This window comes from Homo sapiens, chromosome 18, assembly GCF_000001405.40.
Source record: "Homo sapiens chromosome 18, GRCh38.p14 Primary Assembly".
Classification (NCBI taxonomy): Eukaryota; Metazoa; Chordata; class Mammalia; order Primates; family Hominidae; genus Homo; species Homo sapiens.
In genome coordinates this window covers 56,922,921-56,943,731 of record NC_000018.10, presented here as the reverse complement: position 1 = coordinate 56,943,731, position 20,811 = coordinate 56,922,921, and the positions used below count along the sequence as shown (strand labels likewise).

The 20,811-nt window shown below is 37.9% G+C and overlaps 1 protein-coding gene across 11 annotated transcripts in view; it reads right to left on the bottom strand.

The window, feature by feature from the left end:
* WDR7 (WD repeat domain 7) overlaps positions 1–20,811 on the bottom strand; it is a 385,248-nt gene that overhangs the window by 92,875 nt on the left and 271,562 nt on the right. For all 11 annotated transcript variants that reach the window (XR_007066131.1, XR_007066132.1, XR_007066133.1 and 8 more), the window contains 4 exons: positions 19,624–19,810; positions 7,827–7,944; positions 5,050–5,199; positions 4,339–4,421 (listed from right to left, as the gene is read on the bottom strand). Coding sequence is in view for 7 of the 11 variants with exons in the window: in NM_015285.3 (NP_056100.2) it covers positions 4,339–4,421; positions 5,050–5,199; positions 7,827–7,944; positions 19,624–19,810 (538 nt within the window). In the remaining 4 variants the exon portion in view is untranslated. The remainder of the gene's footprint in view (positions 1–4,338; positions 4,422–5,049; positions 5,200–7,826; positions 7,945–19,623; positions 19,811–20,811) is intronic.

Below are 20,811 nucleotides of genomic sequence, written 5' to 3'. Positions count from 1 at the left end.
GAAGATCATGTTTACAATGCTGACTAAAAATTATTTATTACTTTTTTACAGATATGAAAGCAATAATGTCATCTGGTAGTTTTTTACTTATATATTACTTTGAAATACATATTAGCTAATATTTTGTATACATTTTGGATTTTCACATTATTCTTAGAGAGATCCATGGAAAAATAATATTGTGTGAATACCCAAATCATAAGCACTTTTCTAGATGCATCCATAAATATTTCATTTATGAAGAACACTAATGAAGTTTCACACCATTTTGTGATCTGTCAACCACAGCAACCGAATGCTGACATAAGGCAACATTAAAGAGGTTAGTCTAAGATAAAACCCAGAGCACATTTTAAAAAAGGTAAAAGGAAGGAAACAAAAAAAAAAAGAATACAAAACTATATAAAGATTTTAAAAACAAACATCACATATCTGAACCACAGATATTCATGCCATTGACTTTGGAGTTTCCTATTTCATGAAAGGCATTTTGTACATAGAAGACTCAAAAGTGCTGTAAGGCACCTAGTAGAATCCAACGGTACAGACATGGCAGATATTCAATAAAATAATTTTAACTCCTACTGATATGTTACCTTTGTTGTTGTTCATATATTAACCTAGTAAAAATCAGCCAACAGATGGAGTGGCATTGACCTGTGAAACTTCTGAGATCCCATGCAAGCTTAGTGTTCTCTGAAGTCCTCTATAATTTATCATCTATTGCAGCTCACATTTAGCATAAGCTACAAGCTTATATTGTTAATCATTCTTCTATGTTTATGTGCTGACTCACAAATAAATGGGCCTATGTGGACTTTATTTTCATAATCTTAATAATATCTACATAACTTAATAACTTTGTTATAAATCTGATGTTTCATAAAATTTTGTGTTATCAACTATGTTCTGGTAGAAGAATTACACATTTTTGCTTAACTTTTTCTGACTTTCTATTGCCTATCAAATACAGTAAGTCCTTACTTAACGTGAGGATTTAATATGTTCTTGAAAACTGACCTATAATGAAACCAGTTGTACCACAGGCTAATTGATATAAATAAATAGTTATGTTTCTATGGCACATTTCTGGTCACAAAAACATCACCAAACTCAGAAAGACCCAAAACACTTCCAATGTTAAACACTGAAATAAAGTTGAGATCTACATACATTTAAGAAAGATTAATAAAAATGTTACCAGGACCACCCTGATGAAATAATTGGAAAAGTTCTTTTTCTTACTGTTTTTCTTTATTTATGCCCTTTATTTGTAGGCACAGCTGCATAAAGAAACCAGACAGCCCAGTAGCACCAGAGCTTCTCCATTCCTGACCAGATACCAGAGGGAGATAAGATCCCCAACTGGCACAAACTGGAACAAGTGACCCCTAGTTGCCTTTAGATCCTTAATATTATCATTATAATGCTAAAATTCCCTCCCCCAAAAGAACACCTCGCCATTTTGTGTCATGGGTTGCATGAAGATGTATGTTTATGCACTGAGCCTGTGCATCTGGGGTCCCACCCTGTGCATGCTAACATCCCTCTCCCTCCCCATACCCGGTCCTTAAACGCACCATGCCTTCTATTTGTCGGGGAGAGGGCGTCTTTAGACCAAGAGTTCTTTCCTTCTCCAGGCCTGGCCAGGAGTAAACCCTGCTTGACTTTTTCCTGCTTTGCGACTGATAACAAAGCAGGGAAAGAACTCCACCTACCAGTGACAAAAACAGGTAAGATCATTATTTACCCACTTATTCTAGTTCAGGATCATGGATGGCTGGAGTCTCTCCCAGCGACTCAGGGCACTAGGCAGAACCAGCCCTGGATAGGATGCCATTCCATGGCAGAGTGCGTGTGCACACGCCAGACACTCTCGCTCAGATGGGGACCATTTAGAAATGCTAGTTCACCTAATGGGCACATCTTTGGGATGTGGGAGGAAACCAGAGTACCCAGAGAAAACCCACATGGACCTGAGGAGAAAGTGTAAAGGCCACATAGACAGTGACCCCAGCTGAGAATTATTTTTTTCTCTTCAACATTATGATGAAATGATGTTGAATGAAATGACATTATTCAAGGACCTGCTGTAATAGTCAAACTCTTTCCTATGAAATTCAAAGCCCTCTATACTCGGGCACTATACTAGACTCCTATCCTCAACCTATGTTCTAGCCACTCTACTACACAGCATTTACCAAACTTGCTGTACACTGCTGTGCTGCCAAACATTTGCCAGCCTGGTTCCCTCTGCAATTCAAGATGACACACCCCTAATTATCCTGCAAAGCCCACCCCATCAACTCTTCTGTGAAGCTTCCAGAATCCACCACCACTTTTCCATCACCACAACTCCCTCAGAGGGAAAATCCCTCTTTCCATTTGGCAGACACTTTTATTAAGGCATTTTTCACAGGTTATTATTATTATTATTATTATGCCTTCTCCTTTGTGAAACTTTTTCAGACTCCCATACCCAGAATTAAGCACTCCATTTATTGCCTACCTCAGTCCCTGGTATGTAATTCTACTCCAGCATAGGAAGAAGCTGGAATCATCTGTCTGTATAATTACCTCTCCTGTGCCCCGTGAGGATATCATCTTATTCATCATTGTTTCCCCAGGGCCTGGCTAGTACTTGATACACAGTAGGTGTTCAATAAATGTTATTAAATTGATAAACAAAATAGAACTCCTTTCCGCCAAATCAGAAAAAATTTATACTGAGCCTTCAGTTAAGACACACGCCTCCTTAGCATTCTAGCAGAACCCTGACTCTTCACTGACCACATAATAGGAAACAAAAGTGCATATGCAGCAGACTAAGGTGGTTTTAGGGATTGAGTATATGGCTTGTGGAGGAGGTAGGCTTCCAGCAGAGGGGAAAAACAGATCCTTTAAACATTGAGCACTTTCATGTTAACTCCAGGAAGCTTCTTTACATGCCAGTGGCTGGTGCTATAAGGAGCACTGTTAAAATTCAGTAAAATAAGCCCTAATAAAACTGCTTCCTCATCACCTCCAGGAAGTGACAGGCAAAAGTACATTTTCGCTTAGACATTCCCATTGAAAATAGTCAACTGGAAAAATAACAACTACCTGTATTCTTAAAATCAATTAATTGTGCATAAGATTTAATATATACAATTCTTAAGAAGAAGACCATAAACCAAACACACGGCATAATGTTAAAACACGGCTGTATTCTAATTTGCCAAACCCCATCACAAGAAAATATGCATCTGTAAACAGGTATGCTACAGTATAATTTTTTTAAAATTTGTGTTTATGTTTTTAAATTTTGGGATGCATGAATCAGAAACTGCAAAATAAAGAGATAGGATACAAGGTCTATTGTAAATACAGAAAAAGATATGCGAAGGCTCATAGAGTACAATCACGTGCTGAAATACATTTGCATAGCAGGTAATGCCATTGCTCTCAGGAAAGCTGTAGTCTAAAATGAAGCTTTCTACTACAATGTATTCATAAAAATGAGCAAAAATAGAATATCATTGAACTTGTCTTAAAAAGAAAAATGTTATATAACTATGAATAACTGGTTGTTCTGTTTTCTACAAAAACAATTATCTTCAACAGATTTAAATACTATTTCTAACGACCGCATGGAGATTAAACCTTTTTTAACAAGATGTACCTCAATCTATAAGCATTTTGAGAACCAAGCTTAAAACAGCTTTGAAAGAAAAATAAACATAACGTTACTACACTTTGGCTCTAAAAATACCCCTTCATGCTATAATAATTATATGCTATATAATTATTAAATTATGTATATATATAATTTATAGTTATACTTAGCAAATGCAACATTGTTTATGAAAGTTTTAACTTTTCTTGGCTTCTTTTCCTGCTTTCTCATAAGGAAAACACCTATACTTAAGAGAACGTAATGCAAAGACTGGCCTTGGTATTAAAAATAAACTTTATCAGTGAAAGCGTGGCACAAAGATGTCTGCTGGCAGAAAAGAACATTTTCTTTCCAAAGCCAGAAGCTTCCTAACTCAATTGTATAATGTAAATAATAATTAGAGTAATGAATATAAGAATACAGACATATTCAATGAATGTTCTCTCTTACTCATTTTTTCTAAGGTTTGAGCAAAATATCTTCATCACCCAATTTCAAATAGCTAACTCTACTATATTTTTGTTTTTAACTGTAACCTGCCCATATTGTTTTAGAAAGTAAGCAGACATTAATAAATAACTGGATTTCTAATTGACCAAGACTACTAACACCATGCCAAAAATTTTTAAAATTATTTGTTACTGAAAATTATTTATTCTGCATGCTCTTGAAGGCTTCTTTACCTGCAGATGGCTGGGAAACATTCTTGAAGACCTTTCTTTTTAACTAAAGATCCTTCAAGGCAGTACATAATGATGTCCATAACCTTTGACAGAAAAGAACAGATTTAAAATTAATTTCAAATACTTAATTTTCCAAAATGTAAATGATTAATTTAGGCCTCATTTGCCCATAGAAAGTCTATATAGCTTTATTTTAGTATTTAAAATAAAAACAAAAGCAATTTAAGCCATGTGTATACTACAGTCTATCCTTTCTCTTATCTGTGAAAAGAAATTTAAAGGACAGTGCAATAAAATAAAGACAACAGACTTGTTTAGTTTAAAGTCAATTCATATTTATGTACATAATACATTATTCAACACATTATATATTTTATTTATAATGAAAGATGTCAAAGGGAACATAACCTTTACATATTACAGACCTTTACATATTACAGACCAATTCCATGTGAATGGTGAATGAACTTGAAAATCGTTTTGATTTTTGAGGAAATTTAAATAAGTCTTCCAGAAATGGCACAAAAGTTAATTTTAGTTATCTCTCTCTTACACACACACACACACACACACACACACACACACTCATTCTTTCTCTCTCACCCTTCATCTCTTTTAGAGATGCTGGAAATAAAGATACTGATTTATATTACTTCATTAGAATATTTAATTTAGGTTGCTGATGGATCATTTAAAACAGGATATTCTTACCTCCACGAGAAGATCCACAACATCTGTGGGCATCTTTTCAATAAGAATTTCAATGACTCTCAAAATTTCCCCTTTAGCTCGTGCAAGAGTTGTTGTGTGCATATTCTGCTGTGATTGGGTATTTGCTGCAAGAGCCGTATGTCTGTGTACCTACAAAACATTTCTATGCTGTAGATATGATTGACACTGATATAGTTTTACATTTCTAGCCATGGTTTATTTTTTACTTTCTAATACTATAGAAAAAAATAAACTTCTTGTGGGTGAGTCAGAAAATACTTTTGTTTACAAAAACAATACTTAGTATAATAAAAACTCAATAGGTATTGCCTAATAGAATTCTGTAAGTTCCTGAACATTATATGAGACGTTAATACAACACTATCATGACATGTTTAAAAAGAAACATATTGAGGACTTGTGAATTTGGTACATTTGGAACTGAAGTAGACAGAAGTTGGCAGATGCCCAGGAAGTAAAAGATACGATCCTTGCTCTCAAGTAATGATAGTGCAGCTGACCCATGAACAACATGGGTTTGAAATGCATGACCCGACTTATACTCAGATTTTCTTCTGCCTCTGAGCCTCTGATTAGCAAGACTAATCCCCTCCACTTCCTCCCCCTCAGTCTACTCAATGTGGAGATGACAAGGATGAAGACCTTTATGATGATCCACTTTCACTTAATGAATAGGACATAGATTTTCACTTCCTTATGAGTTTCTTCACATTTTCTTTTCTCTAGTTTACTTTATAGTAAGACTACAGTATATAATATATATAACATACAAAATATGTGTTAATTGTTTATGTTATCAGTAAGACTTTTGGTCAACAGTGGGCTAAGAGTAGTTAAGTTTTGGAGCAGTCAAATATTATTTGTGGGTTTTTGACTGCTAGGGGGATCAGTGCCCCTAACTCCCTTACTGTTTGAGGATCAACTGCAAATAAGACTTTAACCACACTCACTGTGTCCCAGAAATTATTCTCTAAGTGCTTTACAATTAAGTTGGAAAATCCATATGAACATGCCTCCAAAAATAATGAGCATGGCAAATAATATACATTCAGTGTGATTTTCCCTATACAATCGTAAGCTTTATAGTTCAGAGGAGAAAGAATATTAACAGGCCCTGGACTAGCCCGGGAAGAGCCATAAGGTAGTAGGCATAGAAACGGGGTAGAGGTCAGAGATAATAATAAGAAATACTTTAGTATTTTACTCTAATACTCTAAGATTGAACAATGAAGTGGAAAACTTGTGTGTGTTGTTTCATTTATTTTTATTTATTTATTTTTTATTATATAATATTTACAGATAGGGTTTCACTTCACTATGTTGCCCAGGCTAGACTCAAACTCCTAGGCTTAAGCCATCCTCCTGCCTCAGCCTCCCAAACAGCTAGGACTACAGGCACATGCCACAGTACCAGGCTGAAAACTTCTTTTTAAAGGTAATAAATGTGGACTGTTACTTTAAAATTATCTTTCCAGCCAAAAGCTGGAGTAGAATGAATTCAAAGCATGGGTATTCTAACAGTTCATTTTTAAAAAAATACTCATATGTAAATGGTGCAAATGAAGTTTGAAAACACAATTAATACAAGGACCTGTCAGACTAATGTGAGGCTTATTCACTATATTCAATATTATGACCTGTGCATATTCCACTGATGGGAAAAACTGGCAAAAAAAACCTTCCAAGACTAATAAAATTGGCCATTTATGCTCATATATATATATGCACACATTATATAAAACTATATAATACCTACAAAATAAATACATACATATGTGCATTTTAAATCTAGTGGAACCTTACTATAACATTATGCACTATTAGAAAAATGCACACCCTTAAGTCTACAAATTTATTTTAGATATGAATTCAAAGCCTCAGTGCCTCACATAAGCCTATACAAAATGCTATTAGGACTTTCTTTCCTCCCCTCCCAGCGAAATGCATGGCACAAATATTTACAGCATGCCTATTAGGGATAGCTCTGGGGCAGACATAGGCCCAGTAGGTTTCAGTTTATCTGAATAGACTCAGAGGTAATTTATTACTTTAAAAATTCATCATAGCTACAGGAAAAACAACTCAGACAGAGCCCATACCCCATGGACACTGAGTCTGCCCATTATTCATGCTGAAATGGAATAAACCTTTAAAAAAAATTTAAGAGCTGATCATCCTTTCCTTTTCTTCCTCCTACTAAGACCTATAGGAAAGTTCCTATAATTGGCTCATTGTTCTTTACTAGTTTTCCAGTTAGATGTGGGCAATTAGTTTGAACACTAAGAATGTGGGAATCAACTGGCATTCAAGTCTTTATCTGTGACAAGTAATAGGAAAAACAATTAGCAAGTTTATGACTTACATTTTTCGTTTACAGTTAGAGAGCCAGTACTAAATAAGAAGTTTAGTTTTGATGACAAGTAGGTACTTACATGTGAAAAGTGTGAACACCTTTAATGTATTTGAGTTTTCATATGCCTGCTGTAATTCAGATTGAAAAATGATTGTCAAATATTTATAAGTGAATTAACTTTGAGAACAGAAATGAATACAGAAGCAGAAGTAATGAATGCACCACACCGTGGAATTCAGTGTACATGCACACAGACACATGTGTTCATTTCAGTACTAAATTATTAACTTGCATTGTTCTAGAATAAACTGTAAAGGGGATTTGTGGATATGAACCCTCAGCTTATAGTATCAAATAATTCCTCTAAATGAGAAGATGGAGCACACTGAGAAGTTCCGCTCACCTCTTTGGCTATGGTGGTGATGAAGGCGGGTGGTCTGGCGGTGGCAATGAGCGAGAGGGCATGCCTCGCAGAGCGGGCCGAGTCAGCTGCTGGGCTCAGAGGCAACCCCATTGTGATGCTAAACAGGGATCAGAAAAAGGGAAAAAAAGAAAAGAAGCATTAGAAATATGGACTGAAAAGATTAGACACAGCTTATAATGTCAGTTCAAGGTCAATGGGAGCACTCAAACAGTTAGAATATAATGGACTTGCAACAATGGGCAGTGATTAGGAGTCAGGGTGTTCTGGCATCAAATACAAAATGGAATAATTAACCGTGAAGATTGAAAACAGTATGTGCATCTGTCCAAAGTGTTAAAAACGCCTTGTTAACAAATTATCAAGAACTAGTACTGAATACATATCACAAAGCTCAGAATGAGGTAAGAACGAATATTGTGCTGAATATTTTCAAATTTTTCCTAAAAATAGTTAAGTATTTATTTATAAAGCCATATTAAAAGACTGTAAGGTTGTATATCTGAAAGGAAGGCAAGATTCACTCCTGTCTATAAAATTGTCACAAGTACTGAGAATGACAAAATTATTTTTTGTTTGTATATTATTTTTCATTTGAAATATCCTTAGTACCACTGGTTTACCCCAGTTTAGTACTTTTAGAACCAATCTACTAAACAGCATGCTCCACCAACAGTTATTTAGTACTAATGCCAAAAATTCTATTAACTGATACTAATTCTGTTTATATAAAGAAGGGATAGCATGATGTTGTCCAGGCTATTTGTAAGACGAGGCACACAATGAAATAAATCTTCCCAAACTCCGAGAATGCCAGGGTCATGATAGGAGAGTGATGCTATATTCACTCCCCACCTCTACTACATGAAAATATCAATATTCTTGTTTCCAAGCTTCCTTTATATTATATATAATCCACTGGGAACAGTATCAAGACTTTTACTAAAATGTGGCACGTGATCTGCCCATTAACTGTATACAAGGAGTATTTTGTTACTCAGTATGGAATACAATTATAGTTTCCCGAGTTAAATATTTTTAAATTTAAATATGTATTTGAAGACATATGAACACTTATCCTACTCCAATTAAATGAGTATATGTGCTTTATATGTAAACTGGATTGTGTTTACTGAAAATTCTCAAAAAGTTTACAGGTATCTCTATAATTGATCTAAGAACCATTATTTTAACTTGTAGCTGAAAATAAAAATTATGTAGGCATTCTCTTCATTGTTAAAGGAAATTCTGCTTATAAGTCTTTGTGACTGTTACACTGCTTAAATCTCTGACTGATAGTATAACTGTCTCTCTTCTTTTTCCCATACGGAGGGTAGAGACGAAGCAGGGGCTCAGAAGACAGAACTATGGAGAGTTTTCCTTGGATGTTTAACACTAAAAAGAAAGATGTGAGCTGAGAGAACACACACATATTGAACAATGCACAAGCAGAAGGCATCGGTGGGCATCTCCCCACCTCCCTGCCATGGAAGAGCCCGATGCTCTTGGGTCCCAGTAGGAGCTGGAAAGAGGTGTTTTGCGAGAAAGCAAGATGGGCAGTTGGCCAGTTTCTTTTCTGGATTAAACTTGGCTAACTGCAAATTCAGTGAAAGAAATGTTTACTGTGTGAGTAGTGCTGGGGCTAGACTGCTTAATACTTATTGTAAAATTCAGATTATAAACCCAAATTTTAAGTCAAGTTTTAAACAATACAAAAGCCAATTAAACTACATGTAGATACCCTGTGATGCTTCTTTTCATCCATCAATGTGGATGAATAGGGATTGATGATACTGCAAGGCTGTAAACAATCAAAATGTTACATTAATTGAATAATTCTACACAAAATGAAATCAAGTTTGGGAAAATCAATAAAATCACAGAATGCTGGAGTTGGCAAAGATTTCCCAGGCAACATCTCTGACAAGCAGTCAGCCAGGGAAAAGGAATGTCCATCTCCTGGGCAGCCCCTCCTAGATCTGGAAGGCACGCTACAGAGGAAGAACTGGGTGCAGAGCCCAAGGTCTAGGTTGAAAGCCAGGCTTTCCTGTGTTATTTCATGCCCTTTGCATCTGCTCCAGAATATCCCTATGAAGTGGTTGATACAGGTATTTACAAGTGAGAAGGCGGGTCTGAGAACTTAAGTGACAGGCTGGGTAGTTGTGGATGTCTTTCAGGACAGCTAACCTTTGGAGACAATACACGGGGGAGAGGAGTGACCATACTGTGGTTACTTGGATTACTGAATCAGTAATGTGACTAAACTCAGTGGCTTTGGATGAATGGTTAGATTGCATCTTTGAGAGAAGATTTTAGTGATATGTTATAATACTTAGCTTTCAGCTGTTTTATTCAATATTAATAATGGTTTGAATGAAGATACAGGAGGCACAGTTATCAGTTGGTGTGGTTATAAAAATTGTAAGGGAGAGCAGCCATATTACAAAACAGAACTAACATCTACAGAGTTATCAGAAAGATCAAACTCAGCTAAATAAGAAGTCTTATGTGTGGGCACAAAAATGACCAACTTCACAGGTGTGGGATTGGCAACACACTGCTGAACCAGGCTCGTGAACTACTGAGGATTGCATCTGAAACATAAATATGTGTGGTAGTGATTCTGCTGCCCAAAGAGCTGGGCTGTGTCATGAGAAATACAATAATAGGGAAGGTGTTACTCCTGCTGTAGTTCATGGCTCTGGGCACCTGTCTGCCCTCCCCGTGGATATACTTCTCCCTAGGTGCTAAGAGAAAGGGTCTGGCTTCTGCAGGACAAGAGTTACAGTGTCCTCCTAGAATCCAGAGAAGTCCAGTCTGTCCCCAGCTGTGTGCTGCTGGGACCCCTTGCCATTGGAAACCAACATAAGCAGGATCATAGCAAACTCACCATTACCTCTAAGTTCTCGCTTCCATCCCTTCTCCGGTTCTTTTCATGGAAATGTTTAGTGAGAAGCTAAGAGAGGGAGACAGACAGATAGACACACACACACACACACACACACACACACACCCAGAATGAAGAGATACAATCATGTGTGCACTTGAGTGTGGGAGTGGTCAGTTGACAGATCTTCAGGGTTCATGCCACAGTGACAAGTGGATAGTTTCCCCTTACCCTTATGCTGTGTCCTGTGGCCACCCTGGACTGAATAAGTACATCATCTGTAAAATGGGTATATTAAAATATCTACTTCACAGCACTGACAAGAAGACTAAATGAGGTAACAAATACAAAAACAACTAGCCCTGCCGGCTCCTCTATTATATGTACAATAAATGCTTCTTCTGACCAAAGACGCTTCTCATAAAAAAAAGCAAAGTGAAGGGAAAATGAGATAAACTACCAGCAGGTTGCTGCTTCAAGCCAAGAGGCCTAGCCACACGTCATCCTTCCCCCATGTCAACAAATGGCCTTGTGAATTTGGGGGAATCAGCAAACTTCCTATAGTCATAAAAATGATAAAGGTTGGTGCTTTGGTGCTGGGTGGTGGGTCTAGAAGAGAAGCTATAGGGTAAGGGGGAAGGAAGTGAATCAAAGACATGTGAACCTATTGCCCACTGAGTTCAGTGGAAGCTGGAAAAGCCAGCACTTTTGAAGAGGCATCAGTGTGCGCACCTGAGGGATTCTCTCCATTGGTGTCTGGCAGTCTGAGCACAGGACTGCAGAATGTGGATAATTCTACAGCTCTGAGGTCAGGGCTCTGCAGTGACCTGGAGGGTATGGCATCCACAGTGCAAAAGTTGGGGGCTGTGTGTGTGAGGGTAGAGAGATGGTCAAGGCATAGGGAGAAACCTTGTGTCCCTCCTCTAGTCTACTCAATTCACCGTCATCATAGTCATCTTCCCAAAGCACCAACTTTATTTCCTGGTTGCCCTACTTAAAAGTAGCCTTCTCTACCACCTCTAGGAAAAACTCTAAACACCTTGGCTTAAGATTCTAGGCCCTCCATAATCTAGTTCCCTAATTTTCAACTCACTCTTTTCAACACCAATGCTCCTGAAGTCAGGCTAATTTCCAAGCTGGTCCCTAAAGGTCTGTTCCTTTATTTTATTCTAGTATTTTGCTAAGGTTTCTCCTCTAGCCCTTTCCCCATTGGTGCAGTCTCCTCCCTCCTCTCTGTTCAATTCTTGTCTTCCCACATGGTATTCTCTTAACTACGATAGCACTCATTGACTTCTAGTGAAACAAAAATAATCAACAGCAAACCCCATTTATTCCAGGCCCTTAATACTAAATCACATTTTGCCAGGCCTTACTAATTAGTTTTATATTATGAACTCTGCACAGATTTGAAACATGCCTGACAATTCTGTGTAACTCCCCAAAGTGCCCGGTACAGCCCCTGGACATGGTGGTAGCTCCACAGTTACACAGTAAGTGAAGTAGCTGGCAAATTCAGCAGGCAGAAAAAAAAATCATTTAAGCTAGCTATTGGACTGAATTGACCAGGCAATGAAGTCAAAGCAATTGATCTGGTAGTCCCAACAGATGAAGTCTAATTCTGCATTTGGTTATCTTTAAAGTCAAGAGTGCATTGTCTGTGTGATATATTTTAATGTGAGATTCTATCTGAATGAAGAAGGACCATACTATCAGAGGTTTGAAATTAAAGGAGTGTCAACCTTATTCTGGAAACTGCAGTGTAAATATGGAACGCATTTGTGTCATCTGATCCCACCTATCTGGCTGTTATGCGGATCACCCGTTACACAGGTTTACAGGATGGGTCTTTCGGTTCTCTTTATTCTAAAAAAAAAAGAGGACATGACAGACTCTCTGCTTTACTCAGCATTTCAGTGTACACACCCAATATGAAATATCAGAGATGACAGGTATTTTAAATAAAAATATGAATGGAAAAATAGTCCACGCAGCCTGAGCTCCCCCTTCACAGAACTGCTCATTAATCCTGTTCTAAAGCTCACTCCATCGTGGTGAAAGCATTTCAAAAGTTACATGTAAGAACACTTTGGTTAAATGTCATGATCTAAAATTGTCAGACTTTATCAGCTGTCAAATTAAGGAATAATGTAAGAGAATATTCCAGGGGGGCCGGTGGAGGAGACATATAAACTTTCATTGAATAGCCTGAAAATTTTGGTCAATAGGAACAGGGTAATGAAAATAGGCCACATCAAAAACAAAGACTTCTAAAATGACTTTAAAAACACATACTTAATGTATAGCCCCTGGTATTCCCATTTTATTCCTTCCTGGCTAAACAGGTATGTTAATATTTGTCCTCAATTTCACAAGATATCTTCAATTCCTCTGTCATGTCGTACCTTTATTTCACAACTTGCAGGTGGCATTGAGTTCCTAAACCCAAAGGTGGCAATTCCTCCCTTAAATGTGTATCTTTAAGATCTATTTCCTGTATGCTAAATACAATTACAGTGAATAAAAACTATGCTAATAGGATTTATTTATATGGCTTCCTCAGATTATAAATTTTCTGTTAAGAATAAATTTCACAGAAACAGGAAAAATATGAATAGCTTAAATATGGAATCCTAAAGCATCTTAGTGTTTGCATGATGTGTTTCTGTCTCCACTCCTCACCCCCAAAATTCAAGAATGGCTGAGATTTGAGCTAGCATACAAAAAATGTTTTTCTCGCATTCTATGTAGTTCAAAAGGAATCTTTCTAATGTATGGTGCTTATCTGTGTGTCATCAAAGCATGTGTGGTTTCCAGTGACTTTATGCTTCTCTCTGAATGTTTGGTAAATTGTGATGATCCCAGAAAAGCAGTGGGCAGTCTGTAATTCACTAATGTCCCTCAGCTGTGGCAGTATGTGATGCTCGCCCGGCCCCTTCAGCAGCTGGGCCGGCACTGCTCCACTGTTCTCTTTCAGAGTAAAGGCCCTGCCACATGAACGAGGCAAATGGATCAAAATCACAGACCACAACTTAGAGAGATGGAAGTCTAGGCTTCCAAGAGCAGCAGAATTTTTCTGCTCCTTAGTATAGTGGGATTTTCTGCTGTTTCTATCATGTTATCAATCAATATGTACATGACCATGCTGATCTAACAAAATTATGAATGCATAAAAAGGTTAATACTATATGTTTCTACTTTTCTCACAATTAGCTGGGGATGGCTCAGTCTATGATTCCAATGAAGTGCAGTCTCAGTTTTCTCTTAAACAGTTCATCATGAATGAACAGTCCATCCCCATTATTTAAAAATTTCCTCACATAAGATTTTACCAGTGAATCACTCACCTTATTAAGGGTGGCATAGCCGTATGGTACAGGAGCTGCAAGATGGGAGTCAGGAAACCTGAGTGACAGTCTTGGCTCTTAGAGTACCACTGTGACCTCAGCCAAGTTGTTTAATCTGTCTAAACCTTATTTTTACTTAATAGCACATTACGGATACTGGATCAGATGATGTTGAAAAGATTTTCATCTCTAAAAGGAAAATCTTTAAATCCCATGACTTTATTCAACATTTATTGTGTGCAAATCACTTGGCAAATGTTATGAGTAAATAAGAATAAACACATAATATATGACACAAGCACTCAAGAGTTTACTGATATGTAAATAAGGCTTTTACAATCTAGAAGGTACAAAATCTTTGATGAAAATATTTTTTTTTTTGAGACAGGGTCTTGCTCTGTTGCCCAGGCTGGAGTACAGTGGTACGATCATAGCTCACTGCAGCCTTGACCTCCTGTGCTCAAGTGATCCTCCTGCCTCAGCCTCCTAAGTAGCTGGAACTACATGCTCCTGTAGTTTTTTTAATTTCTTAAATTTTGTAGAGACAGGTTCTCACTATGTTGCCCAGGCTGGTCTCAAACTCCTGGGCTCAAGTGATCCTGCCTCAGCCTCCCAGAGTGCTGGGATTACAGGTGTGAACCATCATGTCCAGCTGAAAATAATTTTATTAAACATATTTAAAAATCTAAAGTACACTGAAAATTCTGATTATGTACTTTAACGAATTGTTTTAATTCTGTGGATGTTAAGATTTGGAATGCAAGATCACACAGTATTAGGAGCTCTGGCTTTTGGAATAAGCTAGAGTAGGGTTTGAATCTTATTTTTTTCAGTAACTACAATGTTACTCTGGACAAGAGGCAGCATCTCTCTATCAGATTCATTTTTTTCTCATCTGCAAAGTGGGGATGATAATGCCTATTTCTTGAATTTCTCTAAAACAAGTTGAGGACATTGGAGATCTGAATAGCACAGAAGCTCATAGGTAGTAAGCATTCAATAGAAGGACTGCATCCCAGGCCACTATATCCCTGCACAAGGCTAGCTATGTGATAGGTGCTAAAACAAAGAAAAAACTCACTGCAACAATCTTTTCATAAAGTCAAGACACACCAATTCTTTATCTGACCCTAATCTATTCCCCTGAGATAATTGGGAAGGAAATTATGTTTGAGATTTATTTATTTATTTAGAGTCAAGGTCTTGTTCTGTCACCCAGGCTGTAGAGTAGTGGTCCAATCACCACTTAGTGCAGCCTTGGCCTCCCAGACTCAAGCGATCCTTCCTCCTCAGCCTCCCTGGTAGCTGGGACTACAGGTACACGGCACCATGCCCAGGTAATTATTATTTTTGTTTGTAGAGACGGGGTCTCGCTATGTTACCCAGGCTGTTTTCAAACTCCTGAGCTCAAGCAATCCTCCCACCTCGGCCTCCCAAAGTGCTAGGATTACAGGTATGAGCCACCACGTCCAGCCACTGTGTTTCAGTTTTACATGGGAGAATCCCAGTTTAAGTTCTACAAGAAATTAACAAATAAAATTAGCTAAAAATAGCATTTTCCTCCTTTCACAGATGTTTGGCATGCCTGCGCTTTCCTACCCCTTTCTTTCGCATGCCCCTGTCCTTCCCCCGCTCTCTTCATAACTACTCAAATGACAGATCCAAATGAAACCCCTCCTTGCATCCCCTCTGGTTACCCAGGGTGATTCATTTCACTATGCCCTGAATGTCTATACTTTTTACCTTCCTTCCCACTTTGCATCATGGTTATTTTGGGGCAGATCTTGTCTTTCCTGTAAGACTGCAACTGTCTTGAAGACATGATTTTTGATTCAAATTTGCAACTACAGAGAAAACCTAATGTTGTTCTTTTCACATATTAATTATACAATATGCTTGATTAATTAATAGTTAAAATTTGGCAAAATATCTGAAAACATTAGAAAACAACTGTAGATATTTTGATTTCAAAGATGTAAAGTTGCATATCATGTTTCTAAAATAAAGGGGTAACCAATTCTGGAAAAATACTCTATTTTTTTTTAAGAGTCGGGTCTCACTGTTGCCCATGCTGGAGTGCAGTGGTTCGATCATGGCTCACTGCAACCTTGAACTTCTTGGCTCAAGCAATCCTTCCCCTTCAGCCTCCTGAGTAGCTGGGACCACAGGTGTATGCCACATGCCCTGTTAATTTTTTATTTATTTATTTTTTAGAGATGGGGGGGTCTTCCTGTTTTGCTCAGGCTGGTCTCAAATTCCTGGGCTCAAGCGATCCTCTCACCTCAACCTCCCAAAGTGCTGGGATTACAAGCATGAGCCACCAAGCCCAGCCAGAAAATACCCTCTTCATCTCGAGGCATATACAGTGTTTTAGGAGACCTCTTAGGAGTCAGCTCAGCAGGAGATGTCGGGACATGGGGGAGAGGCAAAAGGGAACTCTGCCATGATATGTGTTCTCTAGACAAGGCAGGGGACCTGATTGGTTGCCCCTCCGCAAAACCCCTGCCCTCATAAACTCACAAGAATAAGAAGAAAGTAGGAAACACTGCTTATGTTTTTTTTTCTTTTTCAATAAACGTGAACTGAAATTTTAAAAAGCACAGGCCTAACATAAAAGCTTCTTCATAAAGCAAGCTTAACATCACAGACAGAAGCAAGGCGGCTGAGCACCGTTACTGTGTACACAGTAAATCAGGCACAAAAAGGGGCAGCCCAACAGGGCAGCACAAGGGTAAGATCCACACTTAACCCTCTGCACACATTGCTGCTCCACTTCCCACCATCTCAGGCTCTGCACCCTCTGCCGAGTGTGTCACGGATGTAACAGGCCATTTTCCATCTAAATCTTGTTATAGATTAATAAGCAAACATTTTCTTGCTTATTATGCAATTTATCATGATGAAAATTACATTGGACTCCTCAAGGCTACATGCTGATACATTCATTTATTCAGAGCTGTGTACAGAAAGTCACACTAATCTTCATGACAGAAAAGGATGTAATAGCAAGATTTAAATTGCCTACTGAAAACTTCAGTGTTTGTGTCTGTGGACAAACTACATGTAGATAAGACCTAAGCACATCTTTATGCTTGCTGGTACAAGCCTAATGTAAATTTCTTTAAAAACAAAATCAAACAAAATATTAAATACTAACCCTGAATAAAAGCCCTTCACTTCTCCTCCCAGGCAACAAAACAGTGTATACTACTGAAATTGTGTTTTGATCAGATTTAAAAATAAGCTCCAAAATTAAGTCAAAGCAAAATTTCAGACAATCGAAAAATGTGAATGTTTCTCAAGACAAACCAGGAGAGCTGCAATAACAGAAGCCAACACTGTTGATGTGTGGCGGGTGCACATGGCAGCTGCAGCCAAGGGGAGGGCAGAGGTTGAAAAGATGTTCTAGAGCTTCATGCAAAGGCCAGCTGCCTCGTACTATAGGCACAGACTCCTGGGCTCAAATTGCCTCCTAATCCTTCAAGTCCCATTGAGAATCTTCAGGCCTCCTGTATCCAGAAAACTATCCTGCCTACCATTATGCTAAACTGCTCATTCTAGAGTCAGGCAGCTCTTGATCTGCTGAATACAAGGACCTAACAATGGCATCACCACCAGTACCACCAGTACTTCTGCCACATAGGAAGACATTTCATCTCTTAATATATGCTCACTATTCTAAGCAATTTGCAAATATAAGCTCATTTAATATATCTTAGGAGACAGGTACTTTAATTAGCCCCAACTTGTAGATACAGAGAGGTAAAGTAATTTGCTGGAGGGCATACGGCTAGGGAGACACCGAGGTAAAGTTTAGGATGCATGGTAGTATGATAGGAGGTAACTGGGGGGCAGGCAGCAGCTGTTTAGGTTTGAATGAATGTCCTCTACCAATCTTCTTGGGACTTTACGCTGGCAATGCCCAATCTGTAGACAAAGCCACAGAGTTCCATTCTAGCCTTCAATTGCTTCTCTGGTCTCTACTTCCTGAGCATAGAGCAGTCAGTAGACAACTATGGACCCAAAGCATGCCAGAACTTAAGGGAATGGCAAAGCAAAGGGCTAAGAACTCTACTCTTAAAAAAAGTTAGCAAGGACAAGAATGAAACACCATTCATTGAGAAAATCCAAGTGGTGGTAACATTTTCGTTAAGGGAGGCATTATGGGACAGTTCAAGAATTCCAACCACTTCATACCCACTGGGATGATTATACTAAAAAAATAAAAAAGAGAGAAAGAAAGAAAAAAACAAGTGTTGGCGAGGCTGTAGAGAAAATGGAACTGTTGTGCACTGCTGGTGGGAAAACAGTCTGGTGGTTCCTCAATAAGTTAAACATGGAATTATCAGATGACCCAGAAATTCTACTCCTACATGTCTACTCAAATGAAAACAGGTGTTCAAATACTTATGCACAAATGTTTATAGCAGCTACATTCACAATAGCCAAAAGGCAGAAACAACCCAAATGTCCATCAACAGGTAAATGGATTAACTATATGTGATATAACCATGAATGGAATGTTATTCAGCCATAAAGAGCAACAAAGCACTATGATATGCCACAACATGAATGGACCTTGAAAGACATCATGTCAGTGAAGAAGCCAGTCACAAAGGACCACAGTTTGTATGGTTCTGTTTATATGAGATATGCAGAATAGGCAAATTCACAGAGACAGAAGATTAATGGTTGCCAGGGCCTGTTGAAGTGGTAACAGGGGAGGACTGCTTAATGGGCATGGGGCTTCCATTCAGGGTGACTTCTGTGGGGACTAAATAGTGGTAACAGTTGCACAACACTGTGATTATACTTAATGCCACTGAATTATAGACTTTAAGATGGCTACAGTGGTAAATTTCATGATATGTGTATTATACACCAAAAGGAAACAAAAGAACTCTTTGCAGGAATCAGGAGATTGAGTTTTCAAACCAACAGTAATCTCCACCACCAATAGGACCCCCTGCCCCATCAATCCTAGTCAGTTGGTCACCACGTGTGTTTCCCACCTATTTGACTTTAGCAGCTCCCTCAGTTCATCTTCCTCTTGTAGAACTCTCTCATCATTGCTTCCCTGGATCACTGCCACCTCCTCATGGCTGGTCCTTTACTGTGTTTAAGTGAAACCTCAACGTAGTTGATTTAAAAGCTAATATGAGTGTGGAGGAGCAATTCCCCAATTTGGCCACGTATGCTGGCCATAATCATTTCTGATCAAGTATCATGTATTTAATATATATATCATTTTCCTTATTAACAATATTATACTATTATTAGTGAGTAATACTTCACGGTATAACAAATACAATTGGAAAACTATGTCACATATCATTCACTGGCTCAGGGCTAAATCCCGATTGTGTTAAAATTATAGAAACATGCTTCCTTTTCATTGTCCATATTCAAAACTTCACATATTGAAACATTTGTGTATTTTTTATCTATTAAACATGCACAATCTATACAGAATGATCAATAAACCCACCAAAAAAACCCCTAAAACAAAAAACAGTGACAAATTAAATTAACCGGAATCCACACATACTTGGCAAGTTGTTTCTCGGCATCGGCACAAAGTTCGAGAAGCCCCATCAGAACAGCGGACACATCCATGTAAGGCTCCCAAACAGTGAACCCACGTCCAATCAGATCAATGGCTGTTCTTCGGATAGTGCTGTGTGGAGGAAGTTTGGGGCTTGGAGGCTGTAGCAGAAGAAACGTCAGTGCCTTGCCTGAAATTATAGAATAAAATGCAGAGCAAAAGGGGAATTTTACTTTTGTAATTGTTTCTTTTGAAGCATACTTTCAAAATATAATCCATTTTTGATTTTTTAACTGAAAAAGGTATTGAACCTCAAGACTACACAAGATCTTGGATAAATGGTTTGCTCAGCCACATTCTTTGAAGAGAAAAGTTAGGCTATATTGTTTTATACCATATTCTAAAGTGTTTTAATTACATATTGTACGTAAATGAGTATATATAATTTCAAAACATATCAGTGATCTTAAATTCCAAACAATGTTTCTCCCTAACTCAGGGTTCTGCAAAGTGGAGATGGTTTCAAATAATGTAATGTGGTACTTCTTAACCTTTCTTCTGCATCTAACACAGTTCATATGTAAAATACTCCCCCTCAGTAACACCTCTCATTACAGGCGCGTTGCAATGAAGGATGGAGAATGTAGAACATGTAGTTTGAAAAAGCTTCCTTCCTAAAGCATCTATTTTCCTCTATATTCTGGTGTATGTACTGATATAGTACAATGATGTCAAGTGTGTGGTAAGCTCTTCATATGATTTTGTTAAACGTGTTAATAGTTCAATATTATTTCTAAATCTGGTAAGATGACCTAGATCTTAATGAACATGTATTCCTTTATGTTGACGATGATGCTGACAATTTGTATACTTACGTCTAGTGGCTATTAAGCCACAAAACTTTATCTACTTCAGAAGGCATTTTGACATTTAAAAAAGAAAACCAGCAGGGGTTACGAAAAGCCAATTGTAATTTAGAAGAGTTTTTGTTTGTTTGTTTTTTTGAGGGGAAGAAAGAAAATAGTTCCTAAGTCACAGAACAGTACAGTATACTGATTAAAAGGAACACATGCTTCAGGTTTAAGACAGGGAATTAACCACGGTTCCATAACTTATCGGGGGCAGGCCTAGGAAGGTACTCACTGAGCCTGACTTTTCTCATACTACTGAGCTTATTCTGAATACCTATTA